We start from the raw sequence: 18,937 nt of genomic DNA on the forward strand, positions 1-18,937 counted from the left end.
TCAGTGAAGTCTAGTCCAAGCCCTGGTCCAAGCTCTGATATGTTGTCTGTGCCCTTCCTCCTCCAGACAGTGGTCCATGTCATAAGGTTCCCCTTTACTGACTACGTGCTGTGCACCTGCCATGCAACCTTCTGTTCCTCATCATCTTAGCTGACCTCCACAAACACCTGTAAGGCAGATGATGTAATTATCTCCATTCTACAGACTCAGGGGCCGAGGCTCAGACAGGCGAAGCCACATTCCTGAGGCCACACAGTTGGTAAGAGATGGATCCAGCTGGACGATCCCAACAGCTGGGCCTTTACACCTTTGATTTATGGCCTCTTGGGATGGCGGCTTGTGTGGTTGCTTCACTGCATAACCTCAAATTCCCACAAGTTTCGTATGTTCATTTAGAGAGGAGGAAATTGAAGTTCGGAGCAAGTAAGTGGCATATCTGAGACTGCACAACATTACCTGGGAGAGACAAGATTTGACCCCCGAAGGTTCAAGAGCCTCATTCTTTTCCATATGACCATTGCAGCATCCAAACCTTCACTCCTCGCTGGGGCGAGCAGACCCCATCCTCCAGGCTTGGGTAGAGGAGAATCTCCATTGTGACTGTGCTCTTCACGGGCTGTGTCTATTCCTGATTTTAGACTTTCCAAACAGTTGTCCAACCAAAGCTTCAAGCTAAAGACCTCAGTGCCTCCACATCAGGATGGATTGAAAGCTATGGACTCTGGTGTAACAGGAGCAGGGTCAAAAGCACAGTCTTTGCCTCATTGCACCAGAACTGCTGACAATCACAGAGCACTGGAAAGATCCTTCCTAACTGGCTCCCCAGCAATTCTACAACAATTTGTTTGTTGCCCTTAAATGAGCCAATCATCCTCACAAACCAGGCTTCACATGGTCCCCAGCTAAAGAGCTCATAGTCATGTTCATGGCTGCTGACTACAGGCTGGTCTATTTCTAAAGCAGCTTGATTTCTAAACCACTCTGAATTAAATAAGACAAGTTTTAAAGAGGTCACTGTGGAATGTTCCATTATTAAAACGATAATATAAATTCTCTAAGAAACCCACTTGTGTGCCAAATTTACATCACATTATCAAAGATGTGCTTTGGATGAACATTGTTCTTGGGGTAGATTTCAGAGAAGAAAGAAAGTGACCAAAGGAAGCAACATCTACCCCGGCCTTTTTTTAGCTCCTAGGAAGTAAAAGTAAAAAAGCAACTTCAGCTATCAAATCCCTCTAATCACAGAGGGTCAGGTGGGGAGGTAAGGAGATATAAACAAAGTGAAAGAGCTGGTAGGGGAAGGGTGGACCTCAGCCCGATGAGCACCCCCAGGCACTGCAGCAGATGCATGTCTTTAAAAGGCCCCAGGGAAGTTAGATCACAAAAGCTCTGTGTGTAAGTGAAGCTGATTCATTATTCCTGTGTTTGGACAACTAGACCAGTACAATGCTGACCCCACCCACTGGACAGACACCATATCTATCCAACACTCACACAGCAGCCCTAGCAGGTGGGAAGTGCTGTCTCTGATTTTCACAGAAGGGCTTTAAGCAGTCTGATAGTTTGCATTATTGTTCTCAAATATTTACCTACTTTGCCCCCATCCAGCTCCTTGGGAGGAGTATATTTCCTCTCCACATTGATGTTGGGCTTGGCCGTGGGACATGCTTTGGCCAAGGGAAAGTGGGCAGATGTGAAATGAGCCTTCAATGCTTGAGCAGTCTGCTTGGCTCTTATGCACTGAGACCTGCCATTAGAAGAGCTTCCCCTGAGTGGCCACTGCCCTGAAGCCTGAACCTTAGAATAAAACACGCGTCGCAGACCTGAGTCTGATCAAAGCCCAGAGCCATGCCCAGCTGAACCACAGCGTGAAGCAGGGCTGCCCACTGAGTCCCAGGCTATCAGCTAAGCTGCACTCAACATGTAGATTCATGAGCATGAGGGAAATGATACTTGTAACAAACCACAGAAGTTTAACATGTTATCTCACACAGCAGTAGCAGTTATTACAGAAAGGTTGTATAATTAACCAAAGTCAAGGAGAAGTCTGATTCTGAGCATTCAGATTTGCCTAGCTCCAAATCCCATGCTCTTTTAATTTTCCCATGTAGAACAAACAGGCTGGAGGTTACAAGTTTGGGGAACAGTCATCTCTACCATGCAGCTGGGTACTGAAGTGTACAGGTAGTCTAAGGCAAAAGAGAAACATTGTACAGGAGATTATGCAGTAGAAGGGTTTGTTGATGAATCTCCCTAGATTTAGGTTTCCAGAGGATGTTCCACATGAACTTTTTGGCTCCTTCTGCCCAGTTAAATAATCACACCTATGCTAATTGATGTGTTTTATTCGTGAACCTAAAACATGTTGATAGGCAGTTATCTTTGTATTTAAACTTGGCTGAAATTTCTGTTTTCAACATTGTAGATAAAATCCACATGCCTCAGTGTAAAAATAGTAATATTTTACAGAAATAAGAAAATTACAAAAGGTGGTTCTCACATAAAAACTATCCATTCTCCTACTAGGAGTCCTGTTTGACCCATACCCTTTTCATCTCACCATGTGGAGAAAATGGTGTGGAGGAGGAATTTAGGACAAATAGAAGGACTGCTGAGAACTAGAGCACTTATTAAGCTGAGGTTCAGGGTTAATTTGCTTGTATCTACATTTCCATCCATTTACTGTGAACTTCTCTTTCTTATGCTCATGACGTACATTAAGGAAATATTTATGGTATTTCCATGGTAGAAAAACAGATGTCTCTTGATCTCTATTTTGATTTTTAAAATTCCATGGGACAATAAATGTTATGTGTACATATTTTTAGACATCTCATGAATTTCTACAAAGAGGTTTTCCCATCTGAAAAAGAAATTTAAAATTACTCCTGTGTTCCACAATCTCTAGATTTCTGTCATTAATTTGCAGTTCTTTGGGGGGTCTGGAGTGGAGTTGGAGTATTTATTAGTTATTCAAACATGACAGGCACTATGCTAAGTACTTTGTATACACACCCATGAGTCATGATAACAGCCCATAAGGTCTGTTGTATAACCTGGATTTGCAGATGAGGCTCAGAGAAGTTGAGTTACTTTTTCAAAAATATCACCGATAAGAGGCAGAGCTCAGGATTGAACCCAATTATGTCTGGCTCCAAATTCCATGCATTTTCCACAACTGCAGACTGCCTCCTCCCATGCTATTTCCTCCTCATCAAGTCCAGGTGTCAGCAGAAATATTTCTAAGCCTCCAACAAGAAGAAGGGCCTTGTTTTCTGGGTTGGGGACAGGTTTATAAGGATAAGAAGGACCTCAGCACTTGGGTCCACTCTCCATCACTCATTCTGGACTTTATCCAGCTTGTCTCTGTCCTCTCTGTTTTTAAATTAGGGCTCTTTTACTATTTATTAACTTATCTAGTGGAGGGGTGTGTGAGACACTAACTCAATTTGCCTTTTAGTTAGAAATCAAACTAAACCTTTGGTTTTGGAGAGGGAAAGCAGATGGGTAAAGAAGTTAAGCAACAGCTCCTGGAGGTTGGAGGATTGATCTGTTCCTTCCAGGCTTGCTTTCGTTAAAAGAGTTACTCATAATTCAGCTGCATTATCACAGAGATGTGTTTTACAAATTAACCTTAACTGCTTTGACTTAGAGGAGGGAATCTGATTTTCTTAGAACACATTTTTCCCAACAGGGTCCCAGTGTCAATGGCAGCTATGCTGAGTCATCAATGACTTGGTAAAGAATAACAATCAAACCTAAAAATTAACATATGGGAAATTAACATTTTCTCTAACAACTTCAGGCACCACTTTTTGTTATTCATGTAATTATAATTTACAGTTGCTCAAGCCAAAAACCTGGGAATTATCCTTGGTTATTCTTTTCTCTCTATCCTTGATGTTGTCACAGGATCCTTAAGGTGTTGCTTTGCCAGCCAGAAACCTCTGTGGCTGGCGGCACCTTCTGCCTGAGTATTGCTCATGCCCACTGGGCTTGTTACTGCCCACTCAGCCTGGCAGGCTGCACTTGGCCCAAGCTACTGGCCCAGATTCCACACCTGCCTAGGGCAAGCCAGGCACAGAGTGGCAAAGGGTGTGTGAGCAAACATGGGGTCCAGCCACTGCACACAGCCAGGCACACTGGCTGCTGTGACAGGGTGCATAGTGACAGCACAGGTGTCAGCTCCATGTGAGGCTGCAGCTGGACCGGATATACTGTATGTGGCTTCTGCTGTGAGCAGCTGCATCTAGACAAGGGGAACATGGTGGTGCCTGGAAGCTTGGAGATGCCAGGAACTGCAGAGCCCCAAAGAGGGTGTCACAGCCCTGGCATGGGGAGCCCCTAGGTCTGGGATCCCCGAAGGGTTCTAGCTCTCCTCTCATCACCTGCTCAATGTGGCAAGCAGGGCGGGGGGGTGTTTCAGCCCTGTTTGTGTTACAGCTCTTTCAGTCCTGCCATCTGGTGGGTTCCAAGTTCTTGCCCCATGTCCAGGAAGAATAAGGTACATGGAAAACTGGAGGGTGAGCAAGGTGGAGAGGAGCTTCATTGTGTGACAGAACAGCTCTCAGGAGACCCGAAGTGGGTAGCTCTTTTCTGCAGGCAGGTCCTCCTGATGAGTGTCCAGCTCTCAACAGAGAGGAGACTCACAGTAGGTAGCTCCTTTCCACAGCTGGTAGTCCTGACCTCTGTTCTAGTCTGGCTGAGTTCATGGTTTTTACAGGCTCAGAAGGGAGGAAATGCATGCTGATTGGTCCATGGGTGGCTAGGGGTAGGCCTGGAAAAAGCACCATCAGTTCTCACTCCTGTCTGCAGACTCTACCTGGAACTGACAGCCCGGCCTCCATGCTTCAGGCCATCCCTGGTTTGAAGGTGGGGCTTCACCAGGAACCAGCCCCTTTCCACCAAGGAGCCTGTCTGCCTCTTGCCGCCATCAATCATGTTGTCCACAGTGCCCAGAGTGTTCGTGCCAAGGGCACCTGCAGACCCATGTCTAGCCACCTTGGTGCCCCCTAGGCCTCTCTCCCATGCTCATTGGTGCCCAAAGTCCGGAGAAGGCCGAGGTGGCAGGGGTCTGGTGTGTCAGCACTGCCCTGAGCATGTGCACACCTGGCCAGGTTGTGACAATGCCCCGGCTTGGCCACAACTTTGCTTGCCAGGTGCCGGGAGTGGTGAGAGGCCAGGCAGTGAGAGCAGGCACTTCTGAGCCTATGAGAGGAGGGCTTCCTGGGCCCCTGAGAGCAAGACAAGAGAGTTCCAAAGGAGCTGTGTGACTTTTGACAAAGACATGCTGAAATTTACTGACCCACCATGCTGTCTTTTACTATGGTTTTTTCTGACTAGAATATAAGCTCGATAATGGTAGGACTCTGGTTGTGGCCGTTGTTTCCCCAGCATCTAGAACGACATCTGGCATATAATAGGTATTTCAAAAATGTTGGGGGACATTGGAAAAAAGTCACAAATACCAAAGCCCGCCACTGTCTTAAGTCTCCAAGGATTTAGAGGGAAGTCCGAGAGCATTCACCAACCAAACACTGCTGGCCGGGAGGCCTGTGCTACTGGAGCAAGAGTCACCCTGGAGCTAGGATGCTGAACACCTGGCTCTCTGCATCCCACTGCCCGCTACACCATCCACGCTGTCTTTCACCTGAGCCCAGAGCAGCTTCAGAATCTGAAGCAGACACCGTGTGCGCCTCACCCAGGTCCCCTCAGAAGCCCCTTTTTCCAGGTGATGTTTCCAGGGTCCTGGTCCCAGTTTTGCCTCCCTTGTTAGCACTGGCTTCTGCTCACTGGTCATTGGGAAGCTTCACCTCCAAGCTGTGGTGGCACCTGGAGACATAATAAGAGGGAAGGGGGAAGGGAAGCAGGGATTGAACCTGCCTTCCTCCTTGTTAGTGACTTTCCTTTTTTCTCTTTTCACAAATACAAATGTGCGGGTAGGACTCAGGGTGAGAAAACTCAGAGGACTGAGCTGACTCCACAGGGACCCTGAGGCATTCCTCGGCCGTCTTTACAGAGGAGCTGGGCCCCTGTCTCCCTCCCTCCAGGAGGACACGCACCACCAGTGAGGCAGCTGGGCTCTGGGAGTGCCCTAGGAGGACCAGTCCGGCTGGCTGGAGAGGAAATATTGCCCTTCGAGGGTGATTGTTAAAGTTTCTAGAAGTTCAATGGCCTGCACAGGCCTCCCAAGGCTGGTATACTCAGGCTTATTTCGCTGAGGGAAATAAAATTACCCTTTAAACACAACCACAACATTTCCATTTCTTGCTCTAAACTGAGTTGGCCAAGCCTGAACTCTACTTTCAAGCATTTAACTCTTTAGTGGAAAAAAAAAAGTCATCTGAAAACATTCATGCACGTGCCCGGCTCTGGCTCTGAGCCGTGGGTACTGTCTTGGAACTGTGGGAAATAGCATGTGGTGGTACCCTGTCTGGCCGGCCCTTCTGGGGGTGGGGTAGGGGAGAACCCATAACCAAGAAGCTGTGGGTGGATAGCAGGAGGCCCTGAGGGTGAGTCACCCGGTTTGCTGCCTTGCGGTCACAGACCTTTGGCTATTGTCACTGCCCCTGGGATGAGTCACACTGAGCCTTAGTGCCTCTGGGGCTCTGCGGAGCTGAATTTCTCCCAGTCCACAGGGTCCGGACATTTGTTCCTAATCTTTCACCCACCTCCCACTCTGTAAGTGACTGGAACTTCCCACTGGGGGTGCAACCACAAGCTAAGGACTGCTGACCTAAGGAAGAACTATTTTTGCTTTTGAAGACTTCAACATAGAGAATGGAAGTGTTTATGTTGTTGGCATTTGAATTAAGAGCTGAGCAGCCTTCTGCGGACATTATGGGTATTCCATTATCTCTGGGAATCAAAGGATATTTCCTCAGCTCCTTTGCCAAAGGCTTCCAGGCAATTCAACACCAGAGAACGAAGGGACAAAGAGCAGTTGCCCAAGTTCCAAGGAAGGGGGAAAGCGAATGGGCAGTGAGCTCAGATGGCTTTGCTTTCAGGCAAGGAAAAGCAATCTTCCATGAGTCTGCGATGATAGCATTCCCCAGACAGGGGACGTGGAGCGGTGACCTGTGGCTCGCAAGCCTCAGACAGGAAGCTCACACTTACAGACCCATCAGCCCTGTCCCATTCCATTTCTCAGGGTCCACACCTTGCCCACATCTAAGATACCCAAAGGTCAGTGACGCCCTTTCCATGGGTTGCCTGAAACTCTCAGCTGGGTCTTAACCCTCACCGTGCTGTTGGGACGAAGAAGCGTGGCTAACTGCATCTCACTGTACGAAGCCTGGGAGTTCAGAAAGCAGAGGCCAGCCCTCTTGTGGGCAGCACCAGGCAGGGGCATGTTTAGCAGCCTGTGGGGGGAATTCTAGCCCAGCCAGGTGGAATCTTGGGGAAGCAGGGTCCATAGAAGTCCTTGAGGGGTCAGTGAAAGTCTCCAATTCCTGACTCCAAGGCATGAGACATGAGAGAGAAGGGAGAGAATTTTCTGGACAGAGCTGTAAATGAAGTGGCACCGGTAGCTTCCTCTCTCCACAAGGCCACCTCCCAGCCGTCACTCCTGCTGCTTGAAAGTCAATCCCTTGGCACTACCAGCTGCTTCTATCATCTGCAAATCACTTTACTGCTCCCATCTCACAAGAGCCGCTTTTCCCTTCTGCGTTTAGCCATTCAGCAGCTGCGTAAGCGCTCACAAGAGCTGTTAGTATCACCAGCTTCCTCTCAAGGGCAGACTGAGGCCAGGAGGCCATGCAGCTTCCTAGAGTGCACCCATCTGGGTTGAGATGAAACCAGGATTTGGGCCATGGCAGTTGGATGCAGAGCCCATCACCAGGCTCCTGAGAATATCAGAGGGAGACCTGGATTGGGCTGGATCCCTTGAGGAGGGAGATTGTAATCCTGCTCCTGTTTTCTGTCTTTCTGTGACCTCTCAATTTCTGACACTGGCTTTTTCCCGTAGCATCCTCACCATCATTCGCTCAAATGCAAGTGAACTCCCCATGCTCCATGCTGGTACCTATCCTGTGTGATCCTCCTTAGCATCCTGCAGCTTCCATAACAAATTTCTCCACACTTGGTGGCTTAAAATGACACACGTTTATTCTCCTATCATAGTGGAGGCCAGAAGCCTATGATGAGGATCAGCAGGCTAAACCCAAGGTGTTAGAATTGTTCTCCCCAGGAGGGTCACGGGAAGGATTCCTCTCTGCCTCTGTCAGCTTCTGGTGACTTCAAGTGCTCCTTGGCTCATGCCTGCATCACTCCAACCTCTGCCTCCATGCTCAGGTGGCCTTCTCCTCTCTCGTATCAAGTATCCCTGTGTCTCCCTCCTATAAGGATCCTTGTGTTTGCATTCAGACCCCACCTGGTGAGTCCAGGATAATCCCCCCATCTCAAGATGCTTAATTTAATCACATCTGCAAAGAGCCTTATTTTGGGGGTGAGGGGAAGCACACAAAGTAACATTCACAGGTTCCAGGGATTAGGATGTGGAATTTTGGGAGGAACTCTCTCTCTCTCTCTCTCTCTCTCTCTCTCTCTCTCTCTCTCTCTCTCTCTATATATATATATATATATATATATATATATATGCGTGTATATATATGCATGTATATATATGTGTGTGATATATGTGTGTGTATATGTGTGTGTGTGTGTGTGTGTATATATATATATGTATATATATATATTTTTTTTAACTGAGTCTCACTCTGTGTCCCAGGCTGGAGCGTAGTGGTACAATCTCAGCTCACTGCAGCCCCTACCTCCCGGGTTCAAGCAATTCTCCTATCTCAGCCTCCTCAGTAGCTGGGACTACAGGTACGTGCCACCACGCCCAGCTAATTTTTGTATTTTTAGTAGAGATGGTGTTTAACCATGCTGGCCAGGCTGGTCTTGAACTCCTGACCTCAGGTGATCTACCCGCTGTCTCAGCCTCCCAAAGTGCTGGGATTACAGGTGTGAGCCACTGCATCTGGCCGTGGGGAGCATTTTTTGAGTCTACCTCAATCCCCAAATCTATAGCTTCACTGTTGGCCTTCACACTGAACTGGAGAGCTGAATTCTCCCAGCCCACCAGCTACCCCGGGTCAGGAGGGAAGGCCTGGACCTGCCACAGTCCACACCCTCTGCATTTGGCTGGACTCCATGTATAACCCTGAGCCTTGATGTCGCAGTGACACTGGAGGACAGGTGGAAGGTGCTGCTCCGTGAGGAGGCACTGACTTCCCCCAGGGAAGTTTGGGTCAGGATCACAGGTGTATGGGGCATTCAGCCTCTTGGCTTGATCTGCAAAGTCGGTTTCCTTGCTTTGTTCTTTCATTTGTATCACAGATCTCCTCCGGGGATGGGGGGGCTGGAACTGTCTGCAGGCTCTGTCGTGTCCTGGGCATCTCATGCATAATAATTTTCTTGCTCTCACCAAAAGTGGAGGGAGGGAGGCCCTCTCACCATTCATGACACTCTTGATATAAGAAACAACAAAAGGCAGAGGGGAAGCAAAAGATCCCAGACAGCAATAAAAAGTAATTCATTCCCAGCATGGAGTCGGTGTGTCAGGAGGGAAGCATGAAGGAGTCATGTGCCGCAGTCCCTAGCCAGCCTGGACTTTCATGCACATGGTGAAGATGCATCTCTCTGGAGCGGTGGAGCCCTGGCCTGCGGCACCCAGCACAGGTGCTGTGAATGCGGGTCGGCTTTTGTAAGTGTTGGGTGACATCTGGACTTTTGGCTCTGTTGGCTCAGCCACATACCAGGAAATGAAGTATTCCTGCAAGGAAGGGGTTTGCGCCTGTGCACAGGGCGTGGGAGAGATCCTTGAGCTGCAGAGAAAGTCCTGCATTGTGAGACTTGCCATTCTTTGTGGCTTCTGGGAGCTGTGCAGTAGGAAACTGCAGCTGTCTTGGATAGCGTTAGGAAATTATCCGAGTTTCTATGATGAAAGGAAGGCAAAAGAAGCCACTTATTACCCCACTGGTGTCATTAAGGGTGCCTTCTCTTTTCTTTAGCAAGAATCTAATGTTGCCTCTAAAGGAAATGGAAAATTCTCACCATGAAGCCTCGTTTCGATTACTCCTGTAATTTTGCATGAATGTGACCAAATGTTTTCTGTCAAACCTCACCTCCTGCTGGTTTCTAAATCCTAATTCATTGTGAACAGAACCCACCATGAACTAGCTAGCTCCTCACTGGAAAAGTCACCAAACCCACAGTGCTGAAAAGGAGTCATTATCACGTACGCTTTTGATTCAGATGGGGCTTTGAGTGAAACATGCCCGTTCTCGAGTTGGCCTCTCTGCTTCCACATTTTTCTGAAACCAGCACTAAAACCCTTGTAATTCAAAGCTTTTTCTCTGCTTAGCAGTGTTGCCCGGAGACCCGAGGCTGTTCCCCATGGACTGGAAATGTGATTCTGCATCCTACTTTAAAAATCAAAGAGCACACAGGGAGGGTTTCCATTCTTTCTGGGGGAATTTTATTTTATTTTATTTTATTTTATTTTATTAATGATCCTAAAAAATCAAGATGAATCAAAGGGTTGAGTAACATATCAAATGTCTAGAGAACGGATTCTCCACCAGCCAGTGCCAGTTAGTGTTCACAGAGGCAATTGCACAGAGGAGGTAATTGGAAAAGGAAGGGGATGGCCCCTGGATTTGCCCAGCTTGATGGTTTCAGGATCGTCCTCAGGGGAAAGGCCTAGAGCGGTGACCAATTAATAAGCTTCAAACCCACTGGTGATTGAAACCAATCAGAAGCTGTTTTGATAATTGGTTGTACCAAAGGGAAGACACCCCTAATTCTGGGTGGAGAGGAAGAATGTTCCATGCTACTTTAGAATGAAATCTGTTTGAATTGGCTGAGCTTTCTGAGGTTGGCTAGACTTCACAACTCCAAAGGCTGGAACACAGGTGTCCTCATTGTTAAGAACTAGAGAGAACACCTAAGAGAATCATAAGCTTTGTAACAACACACAGGAGGCTGTGGTCCATGTACATGAATATCCGAATGAGAAATCTTCAGTCCATTCTCTTCTTCCCAGCAGGAAAGCCTCTTTCTTGGTTTCCTTCTAGAAAACTTGGGGAAGGCTCAGAAGGGCACCTTCAGTCGGAGGGTGGAGAACCAGGTCTGGGAGCCTTCTGCACTGACCTTTTGTCCCTTCTTCCGCTATCCTGCCACAGTGTCTCATGGCTGCTATGAACACCACTAGCTCCTCTGTAGCAGGTGGAGTCTCTGTGTAGAAACGGTTCTCACTTTGGGTTCCCCACTGGCGTCACTTGGAGAGTTTAAAAATGCTGATGCCTGGGCCCTGCCTGGGGATTCTGATTTGCTTGCTCTGGGGCATGACCAGGGTATGGTGTTTTTAAAGCTTCCCGTGCTTCAGTGGAGCCAGGGTCAAGAACCATTGATTCTGGGACTCTACCTATATAGCCTCCAAGTAGGGGTTTTTCCTATTAGAGATATTGTTTTATTTTACCTACCCCAATGAGGGCACACAGGATCTCCATGTCATCCTGGGAGCCACATCGTCAGCACGGCTGAACCCACCCAGGGGCCCCCCTGTTGCATGTGGGTGGGCACTGCTTGTTTCCCCACACTGAAAGAGAAAAGTTGCACTCTCCCAGTGTGATTGACAGGTGACAGGACCTGGCGTGTTGCTTCCTGAAAACAGGGAAGAAAAAAAGGGTAAGGAGTGGAATGGAATTACATGGTGCAGATAAACAAATGGAAAATGGCTCTGAAAACATCTTTTGTGGGGCATGAGGCGGATACATGTTAGGAAGCCCCTATTTAAGAAAACAGCATAAAATTAGGAATACAAAGTAGCAAGAGAGCCTTGGGAGGTCCATGGAGGGGGGCTCCTGAACCTTCAGCTTTGACCAAATGAGCAGTGCAGCCGGGCGATGGGATGGCAGGCAGGCGATGCGCATGCTGATGTGGAGGCACACCTTGCACCTGGAGAGCTGTCTGCAGAATTTTCTACTGAATTGAAAGGGCTACAAAACAGCATGTCAAATCCTGTTTCTTTTTTGTCGAGAGTTGTACGCACACTCATATTAAAGTCTACTTTTTATAGTCCAAGAGTACAATGGAATGATGGTTTCCTCTGAGCCTGGGAACTCAAGTGGAGGAACGAGGTTGCGAAATGGGCAGGGTCACTGCCAAACAGTGTCACTGTCACCGATTAGCTTCATGGTGTTGTGATTATGATGCATGAACCAGACCAGTGCTCACCATGTGGCTGGAGTCACCGGCCCCTCAGTCCAGATAAAACTGACATAAAAACCCACGCAAACTGATTGTGAAACTGCTCCTTATAAAGCTGCAAATAATCCCTCTTTTCTGGACTCTTTTTTGACACAAAAGGAGATGTTTCATCTACCCCATTGCATGCAACCAATATGTATTATTCCACTAACCATTCTAATAATGTATTGTCACAGGAGGCACCACGTGCACGCTCAGTTAGAGACACTCTTCATGAGACTGTGGAAGAGGAGGCAGGAGGAAGCAGAGATTTGGACAGCAGGGTTTCCCCCACTGCACTGACATTCCCAGGAAACACTTGGTTCAGGGGCTGCTGGTGCATTTTGGATTTTCACGGTACTACATGGAACAGATCTTATTTTCGACAGAATTCTTCCCTACCACACAGACACACACTGCTTCATGTACAGTTTACTTTAATGTAGTTACAGCATTTCTTACATTGATTAAAACTTGTAGCAGAATTCTTTCCCAGGAAATATTGCAAAATAAGTTCTGTAACTTGGAAAGAGCCCTCCCTTTCTAGTGTACTACATCAGCCTGTGAGTATCACGGACCAGATGAGAACCGTTGTGGCATCCTAACATGTCCTTTGGCGCAGTAACACTCAGCACAGAATTTGCGGTGACATGGACAGGAAGCAGTGCTCTGTTCCCTGACGTTGGAATATGCTTCAATGTAATGCATGGCTGCTTTCCATATTCAGAAAAATCCAAAGACTCTGCTCTAGTGGCTTTGGTTTTTATCCTTTGTGAGGATATAGACATGATTCACGGCAGAGAAACATCACAGGCAGGTCTTATGAAAAAAAAATATCCCCCTGAAAGAAAGAGGAAATGATCTCTGAAAATTGCAAACATATGCCAACAAGGCCAATAAAATACGTGTATGCACACAGCAGGGTTCTCCCCACCACAGACTCTGAAGGTCCCTGGTCCCCTTAGCCATCTCAGTAAGCATCAACATTGCCTTGCATCTTTGCAAACAAATTGGAGATTGTTTTGCTTTTTAAAGTTGTATTCGCACTGCACATGGCTTTGATTAGTGGTCACACACATGCGCCAAACCTAATGTCATCTGCGGCTTTTGATTGTATTTTCCCCTTTATGGGACTGGAAAAATCTTAGTCTCCAGCCTGGAGATGGTCTGTCTCTCGTTATTCTGGAGGCCCCGTGGCTGAGCTGGCAAGGAGGAGGGAAGGGAGCAGAGTCTTCCGCCTACAGGTTCCCAGGACGGTGGGCTGGCCCCAGCCCCAGCCTCTCTCGTGTCCCCATCTCCCCTAGTGAAGGCCCTCACCTGCCTCCTCCAGAGTGTTCTGTGCCCTTCACGCAGGAAACTCACGGACACCTCCCGTGGGAGCAATTGAGGAATCAGTGTACTCGAAGCATAGACAGCCCAGGAGGGACTGGGCCTAATGTGGGCGAGACACTCTAGGCAAAGGAAGGAATTCCTAAAGACGGATCATAGATGCCAGAATCGTTTGCCCCAAGGTTGGTGCTGACCTGGAGGGGATTTCTCAGTGCACCCCTCAGGAGAAACACGGAGCTGGATGGGGGCGCTCTTTGATGAGGCACACAGGAGAGTGAGCCTCAGGAATTTTTTTTTTTTAATTTTTGTTTTAAGTTCTGGGGTACATGTGCAGGATGTGCAGGTTTGTTACACAGGTAAACGTGTGCCGTGGTGGTTTGCTGCGCCTATCAACCCATCACCTAGGTATTTAGCCCAGCATCCATTAGCTATTTTTCCTAATGCCAGGAAGGTTTTTAAGATGATTCCTTCCAGAAAAAGGTAAATCATCCTTGCCACCACTTCTGACCCTCTTTCCTCTGACCTAGACTATATCGTTAAAAACAGTCCATTTTCTTTCAGAAGAAGCAATACAACTATAACCTCTGGGTAGGGGAGAACATATGTATAGAATAGGATAACAATAAAAAGGCAGGCAGTCCTGACCTGGACACAGAAGAGCAGTGAAAAGAGAGATTCTTTGCAGGGACAGCACCTAAGACCAAGTTAAGAAAGGAGAACGATGACCTACATTCTAGGAAACATTGACACCCGGTTCAGGGTCAACTGTGGGAGTTAGTCAACAACACCCCCAAGTCAGGAATCTTGATCTGTGGGCACAGAAGATGCAATTTGAATCGTGTGCTGATTAAAATCAGATCCAAATGCTGATGAGTAAAGGAAATACAAGGCTATTCGTTTTCACGCATGGTAAAACCAAGGAATTATTTCCACACTGAACATTCTGAATCAGTCATTCTCCATTAGGAAGGAGGACTTCCACGTATAAGGTATTGAGCTGAGCATAATATTACATAAGGAGAGAGTAATAAACTAGCATAACCCACTCCACTTTCTCAAAATACAGACATGATCTTATTTCCTTTATGTGTCCAAGTAATCGCTTAGAACATTATCTTTCCTACTGCGTACTTGCCATGCCCGTCCCTCCTCTAATTATCCTGGAACACAGTCAAAGAGGCTTCAAGCGTGAGCCCCAACACCCAGTGGGAAAGATACATGGCATCTAGTCATCCATCATCACGCAAGTATGATCACTGTGAGGAGATGCTATCCACTGACAGCTCAAATTGAGTGTCCACTGCCACCAGCATGACCCTCTCTCTGGTTCACACTGTCCATGATTAGGCTCCAGAGTTGTTACTCATTCATTCATTCCGCATTTACCGAGTGCTGACTGTGTGTCAGGCACTGTTCTTGGTTCTGGGGTTATAGCTGTGAACAAAACAGACAAAAACTCTTGCTTCCCCATTCTAGGGGTTGAGACAGACAAGGCATGGAAGAAGTCATTAATTTACTTTTAATTGCATCCTAAGTATAAAGGAAGGATAGTAAAGTAGGAAAGGGAGACACGAAGGGCTGGAGGGGAAGGGCAAGGACATGGAGGAAGGGAGGGAGCTTGTCCTGCAAATACAGCTGAGGGAAGAGCACTGTTGGCGGAGAGAACAGACAGTACAAAGCTGCTGAGCTGGAGCGAGCCTGGCTGCATCCAAGAAGAGGAGCAGGGCTCATCAGGGAGCCAGGAAGGTCATGGGGATTGTTTTTGTCATTCACACTCACATTCAGCTTTGGGCATGGGAGCACTGCCATTGTGACGCAGCAGCAGGGACATGGGGCTGCCAGCTCTGGGCAACGCCCCTTCCCAGGACAAATCCTTAGGTCTTTATGTCTAATGGGGGCGTCTCTCAGACCCCACTTCCTTGCTACTGTGAACCCCGAAAATCTGAGATAGGTCTCAGTTAATTTTGAAAGTTTATTTTGCCAAGGTTGAGGACACGTGCCTGTGACACAGCCTCAGGAGGTCCTGACGACATGTGCCCAGCGTGGTCGGAGCACGGTTTGGTTTTATACTCCCAAGAGTGGAACAGGAGCCACCAAGCTGTTGTTCCCTCATTCGGGCTCAATCCCATGTGACATCTCACTGCACTGTGTGTGATTTCCATGCTTAATGACACACCGAGGCTAACAGATACAATATACTCTACTCATGGATTTTTGTGAGATAATTAGGACCTGGTCCTCAACCAAGATGTGATTCCATTGCGTTGATCACAGACCTAATGGCTACCAACATTTTGTTCTCCTGAGTGAGGCTGAAGTAGAGAGGATGGGGTTCGGGAGTTGGGGGAAGAGTCTTGGACTAGATACCTCAAATGCTAGGAGAACCTGTGTGCATATGCACGTGTGCATGTGTGTTGTGTGCTGCGTGTGTGGCATGTGTGTGGTGTGTGTATGTTATGTGTGGTATGTGTAGTCTGTGTGTTGTGTGTCTGGCATGTGTGTAATGTGTAAGGTATGTGTGATGTGTGTGTGATGTGTGTGTCATACATTTGGCATGTGTGTAAGGTATGGGTGGTGTGTGTGATGTGTGTGTAATATGTATGTGGCTTGCGTGTAAGGTATGGGTGGTGTGTGTGATGTGTGTGTAATATATATGTGGCATGTGTGTAAGGTATGTGTGGGGTGTGTGTAACACATATGTGGCATGTAAGGTATGTGTGTCTCGTGTGTGATGTGTGTGATATGTGTGTATGAGGTATGTGTGGTGTGTGTGATGTGTGTGAGGTATGTGTGGTGTGTGTGATGTGTGTGATACGTGTGTGGCATGTGTGTAAGGTATGGGTGGTGTGTGATGTGTGCATAATACGTATGTGGCATGTGTGTAAGGTATGGGTGGTGTGTGTGATGTGTGTGTAATATGTATGTGGTATGTGTGGTGTGTGTGATGTGTGTGGCATGTGTGTAAGGTATGTGTGGTGTGTGTGATGTGTGTGATACGTGTGTGGCATCTGTGTAAGGTGTGTGTGGTGTGTGTGATGTGTGTGGCATGTGTGTAAGGTATGTCTTGTGTGTGATGTGTGTGTAATACGTGTGTATAAGGTATGTGTGGTGTGTGGTGTGTGTGATGTGTGTGATATATGTGTGTAAGATGTGTGGTGTGTGTGATGTGTGATACATGTGTGTAAGGTATGTGTGGTGTGTGTGGTGTGATGTGTGTGATGTGTGTGATGCATGTGTGGCATGTGTGTAAGGTATGTCTTGTGTGTGATGTGTGTGTAATACGTGTGTGTAAGGTATGTGTGGTGTGTGTGATGTGTGTGATACATGTGTGTAAGGTATGTGTGGTGTGTGTGGTGTGTGTGATGTAATACATATGTGGCATGTGTGTAAGGTATGGGTGGTGTGTGTGATGTGTGTGTAATATGTATGTGGTATGTGTGTAAGGTATGTGGTGTGTGACATATGTGTGATACGTGTGTGGCATCTGTGTAAGGTATGTGTGGTGTGTGGTGTGTGTATGTGTGTGGCATGTGTGTAAGGTATGTGTGTCTTGTGTGTGATGTGTGTGTAATACGTGTGTGTAAGGTGTGTGTGATGTGTGTGATACATGTGTGTAAGGTGTGTATGGTGTGTGATGTATGTGTGATATGTGTGTGGCATGTGTGTAAGGTATGTGTGTCATGTGTGATGTGTGTGAGATACGTGTGTGTAAGGTATGTGTGGTGTGTGTGTGATGTGTGTGTAAGGTAAGTGTGGTGTGTGATGTGTGCATGATACATGTGTGGCATGTGTGTAAGGTATGTATGGTGTGTAAGATGCATGTGTGATACGTGTGTGGCATGCGTGTAAGGTATGTGTGTCATGTGTGATGTGTGTGAGATACGTGTGTGTGAGGTATGTGTGGTGTGTGATGTGTGTGTAAGGTAAGTGTGGTGTGTGTGATGTGTGCATGATACATGTGTGGCATGTGTGTAAGGTATGTATGGTGTGTAAGATGCATGTGTGATACGTGTGTGGCATGTGTGTAAGGTATGTGTGTCGTGTGTGATGTGTATGTGATACGTGTGTGTAAGGTATGTATGGTGTGTGTGTGTTTGGAAGAGGAGTAAAGAAGAGTGCAATGTGGCACTTGGGGAAAGGACAGAGATGCTGCAGGGAGATATTTGCTGATATTTTTGCTTTGAGGGCTGCAGTGTAACCCTCTCCTATCTTCTACTTTCAAGAAAATAAAGTTTTCAGAGAGGCTTCACGGTTGACCAAGGGTCTGTGTGAGCTGGAAGTGCAGCCTGGGGCTGTGCCATGGCAGAGTGACACCGGAGGAGCAGGGGAGGTTTGAACATAAGGGTTTTACAGCACCAAGAAACCTTAGCTCCATTATCTTACACTTGGAGGTCTCTCACGGATAAATCAGCTGCTTTTCAAAATAGAAGAGACTTATGAAAATGTATCACTTGGCAGACATAGAAAGCAGCTGCTTATCATCATTAATTTTCAATAAATATGTATTAAGCAACAGGATATAGATCACTCTGTGAGGTTCAGGACCTTGGGAAAATACAGTATCCTAGAGACAGCATTAACACAAGGCACGACTCAAGGCCGCTCCTGTCATCTACACCCCTCCCGCTCTGCACGGCTGACTCAGAGCCTCCTGGCCTGCGGAGGAGCAAGAGGCACTGCACAGGCCACAGCGGGTTGTGATCCAGGAGAGGCCATTGGTTGGGGCGGGGGGATGTTAATTCCTCTGAGGTTGTGGGCAGGGGAGATTTTCTTGGAGGACATTCATTTCCCAGTGGGGAGGGAAGATTGAGACTATAATGTCTCTAGGGAAATTTAATAATTAAGGAAGGTCCACATGATGGAACTGTGGGCCATTTTCTATTTCAGGCCTTATGGTTATTTTGCCTTTACCATAGGGCGGTGCTTATCACCAGCAAGACTGACCAACAAACCAGCTGTGGAGGGAAATTGAGAGTGGGCTCCCTGCTGAAGACAGTAGACATGGCCATCAATTAATGTCCTGTTTTCTCCCGTGCAGAGCCTCTCAGGGCCAAAGCTGGATTGTACCGGGCTGGGAAAACAAAAAATAAATACATGGGGAGAGAATGTTGAGGGGTGACTTGCTAACCAGTCAGTTGAATTCCAGGCACAGATTGAGTTGCTTCTGGAGTGGGCAGGGTCACTGTGAACGCCTACGTGAGCCTCTTCTGCACCACACAGCAGAAACTGTAAGTTGCATGTGACTCCCCTTAGGGTCTGGCATTCACCATTCTCTCTCTCCATGCAAGCACACACACATGTGCGGTTATAACTTTGCCTCTTCTACCATGTGGGCGGTAGAAAATGCTGAGAT

The 18,937-nt window shown here is 47.4% G+C and overlaps 1 long non-coding RNA gene across 3 annotated transcripts in view, besides 3 other annotated features; it reads left to right on the forward strand.

The window, feature by feature from the left end:
• Window positions 5,099-5,770: an enhancer, noted in NCBI's record as "H3K27ac-H3K4me1 hESC enhancer chr2:238109387-238110058 (GRCh37/hg19 assembly coordinates)". NCBI's record gives its function as "activates a minimal SCP1, AML or CMV promoter by ChIP-STARR-seq in primed H9 embryonic stem cells {active_cell/tissue: H9 hESC(primed)}" and the evidence as "EXISTENCE:reporter gene assay evidence [ECO:0000049][PMID:30033119]".
• Window positions 13,068-13,568: an enhancer, noted in NCBI's record as "H3K4me1 hESC enhancer chr2:238117356-238117856 (GRCh37/hg19 assembly coordinates)". NCBI's record gives its function as "activates a minimal SCP1, AML or CMV promoter by ChIP-STARR-seq in primed H9 embryonic stem cells {active_cell/tissue: H9 hESC(primed)}" and the evidence as "EXISTENCE:reporter gene assay evidence [ECO:0000049][PMID:30033119]".
• Window positions 13,569-14,069: an enhancer, noted in NCBI's record as "H3K4me1 hESC enhancer chr2:238117857-238118357 (GRCh37/hg19 assembly coordinates)". NCBI's record gives its function as "activates a minimal SCP1, AML or CMV promoter by ChIP-STARR-seq in primed H9 embryonic stem cells {active_cell/tissue: H9 hESC(primed)}" and the evidence as "EXISTENCE:reporter gene assay evidence [ECO:0000049][PMID:30033119]".
• The window catches only part of LOC105373953 (uncharacterized), a 44,371-nt gene continuing 43,094 nt past the window's right edge, over window positions 17,661-18,937 (forward strand). For all 3 annotated transcript variants that reach the window (XR_924035.3, XR_001739959.2, XR_001739960.2), the window contains exon 1: window positions 17,661-18,812. This is a non-coding gene — a long non-coding RNA (uncharacterized LOC105373953). The remainder of the gene's footprint in view (window positions 18,813-18,937) is intronic.

This window comes from Homo sapiens, chromosome 2, assembly GCF_000001405.40.
Source record: "Homo sapiens chromosome 2, GRCh38.p14 Primary Assembly".
Classification (NCBI taxonomy): Eukaryota; Metazoa; Chordata; class Mammalia; order Primates; family Hominidae; genus Homo; species Homo sapiens.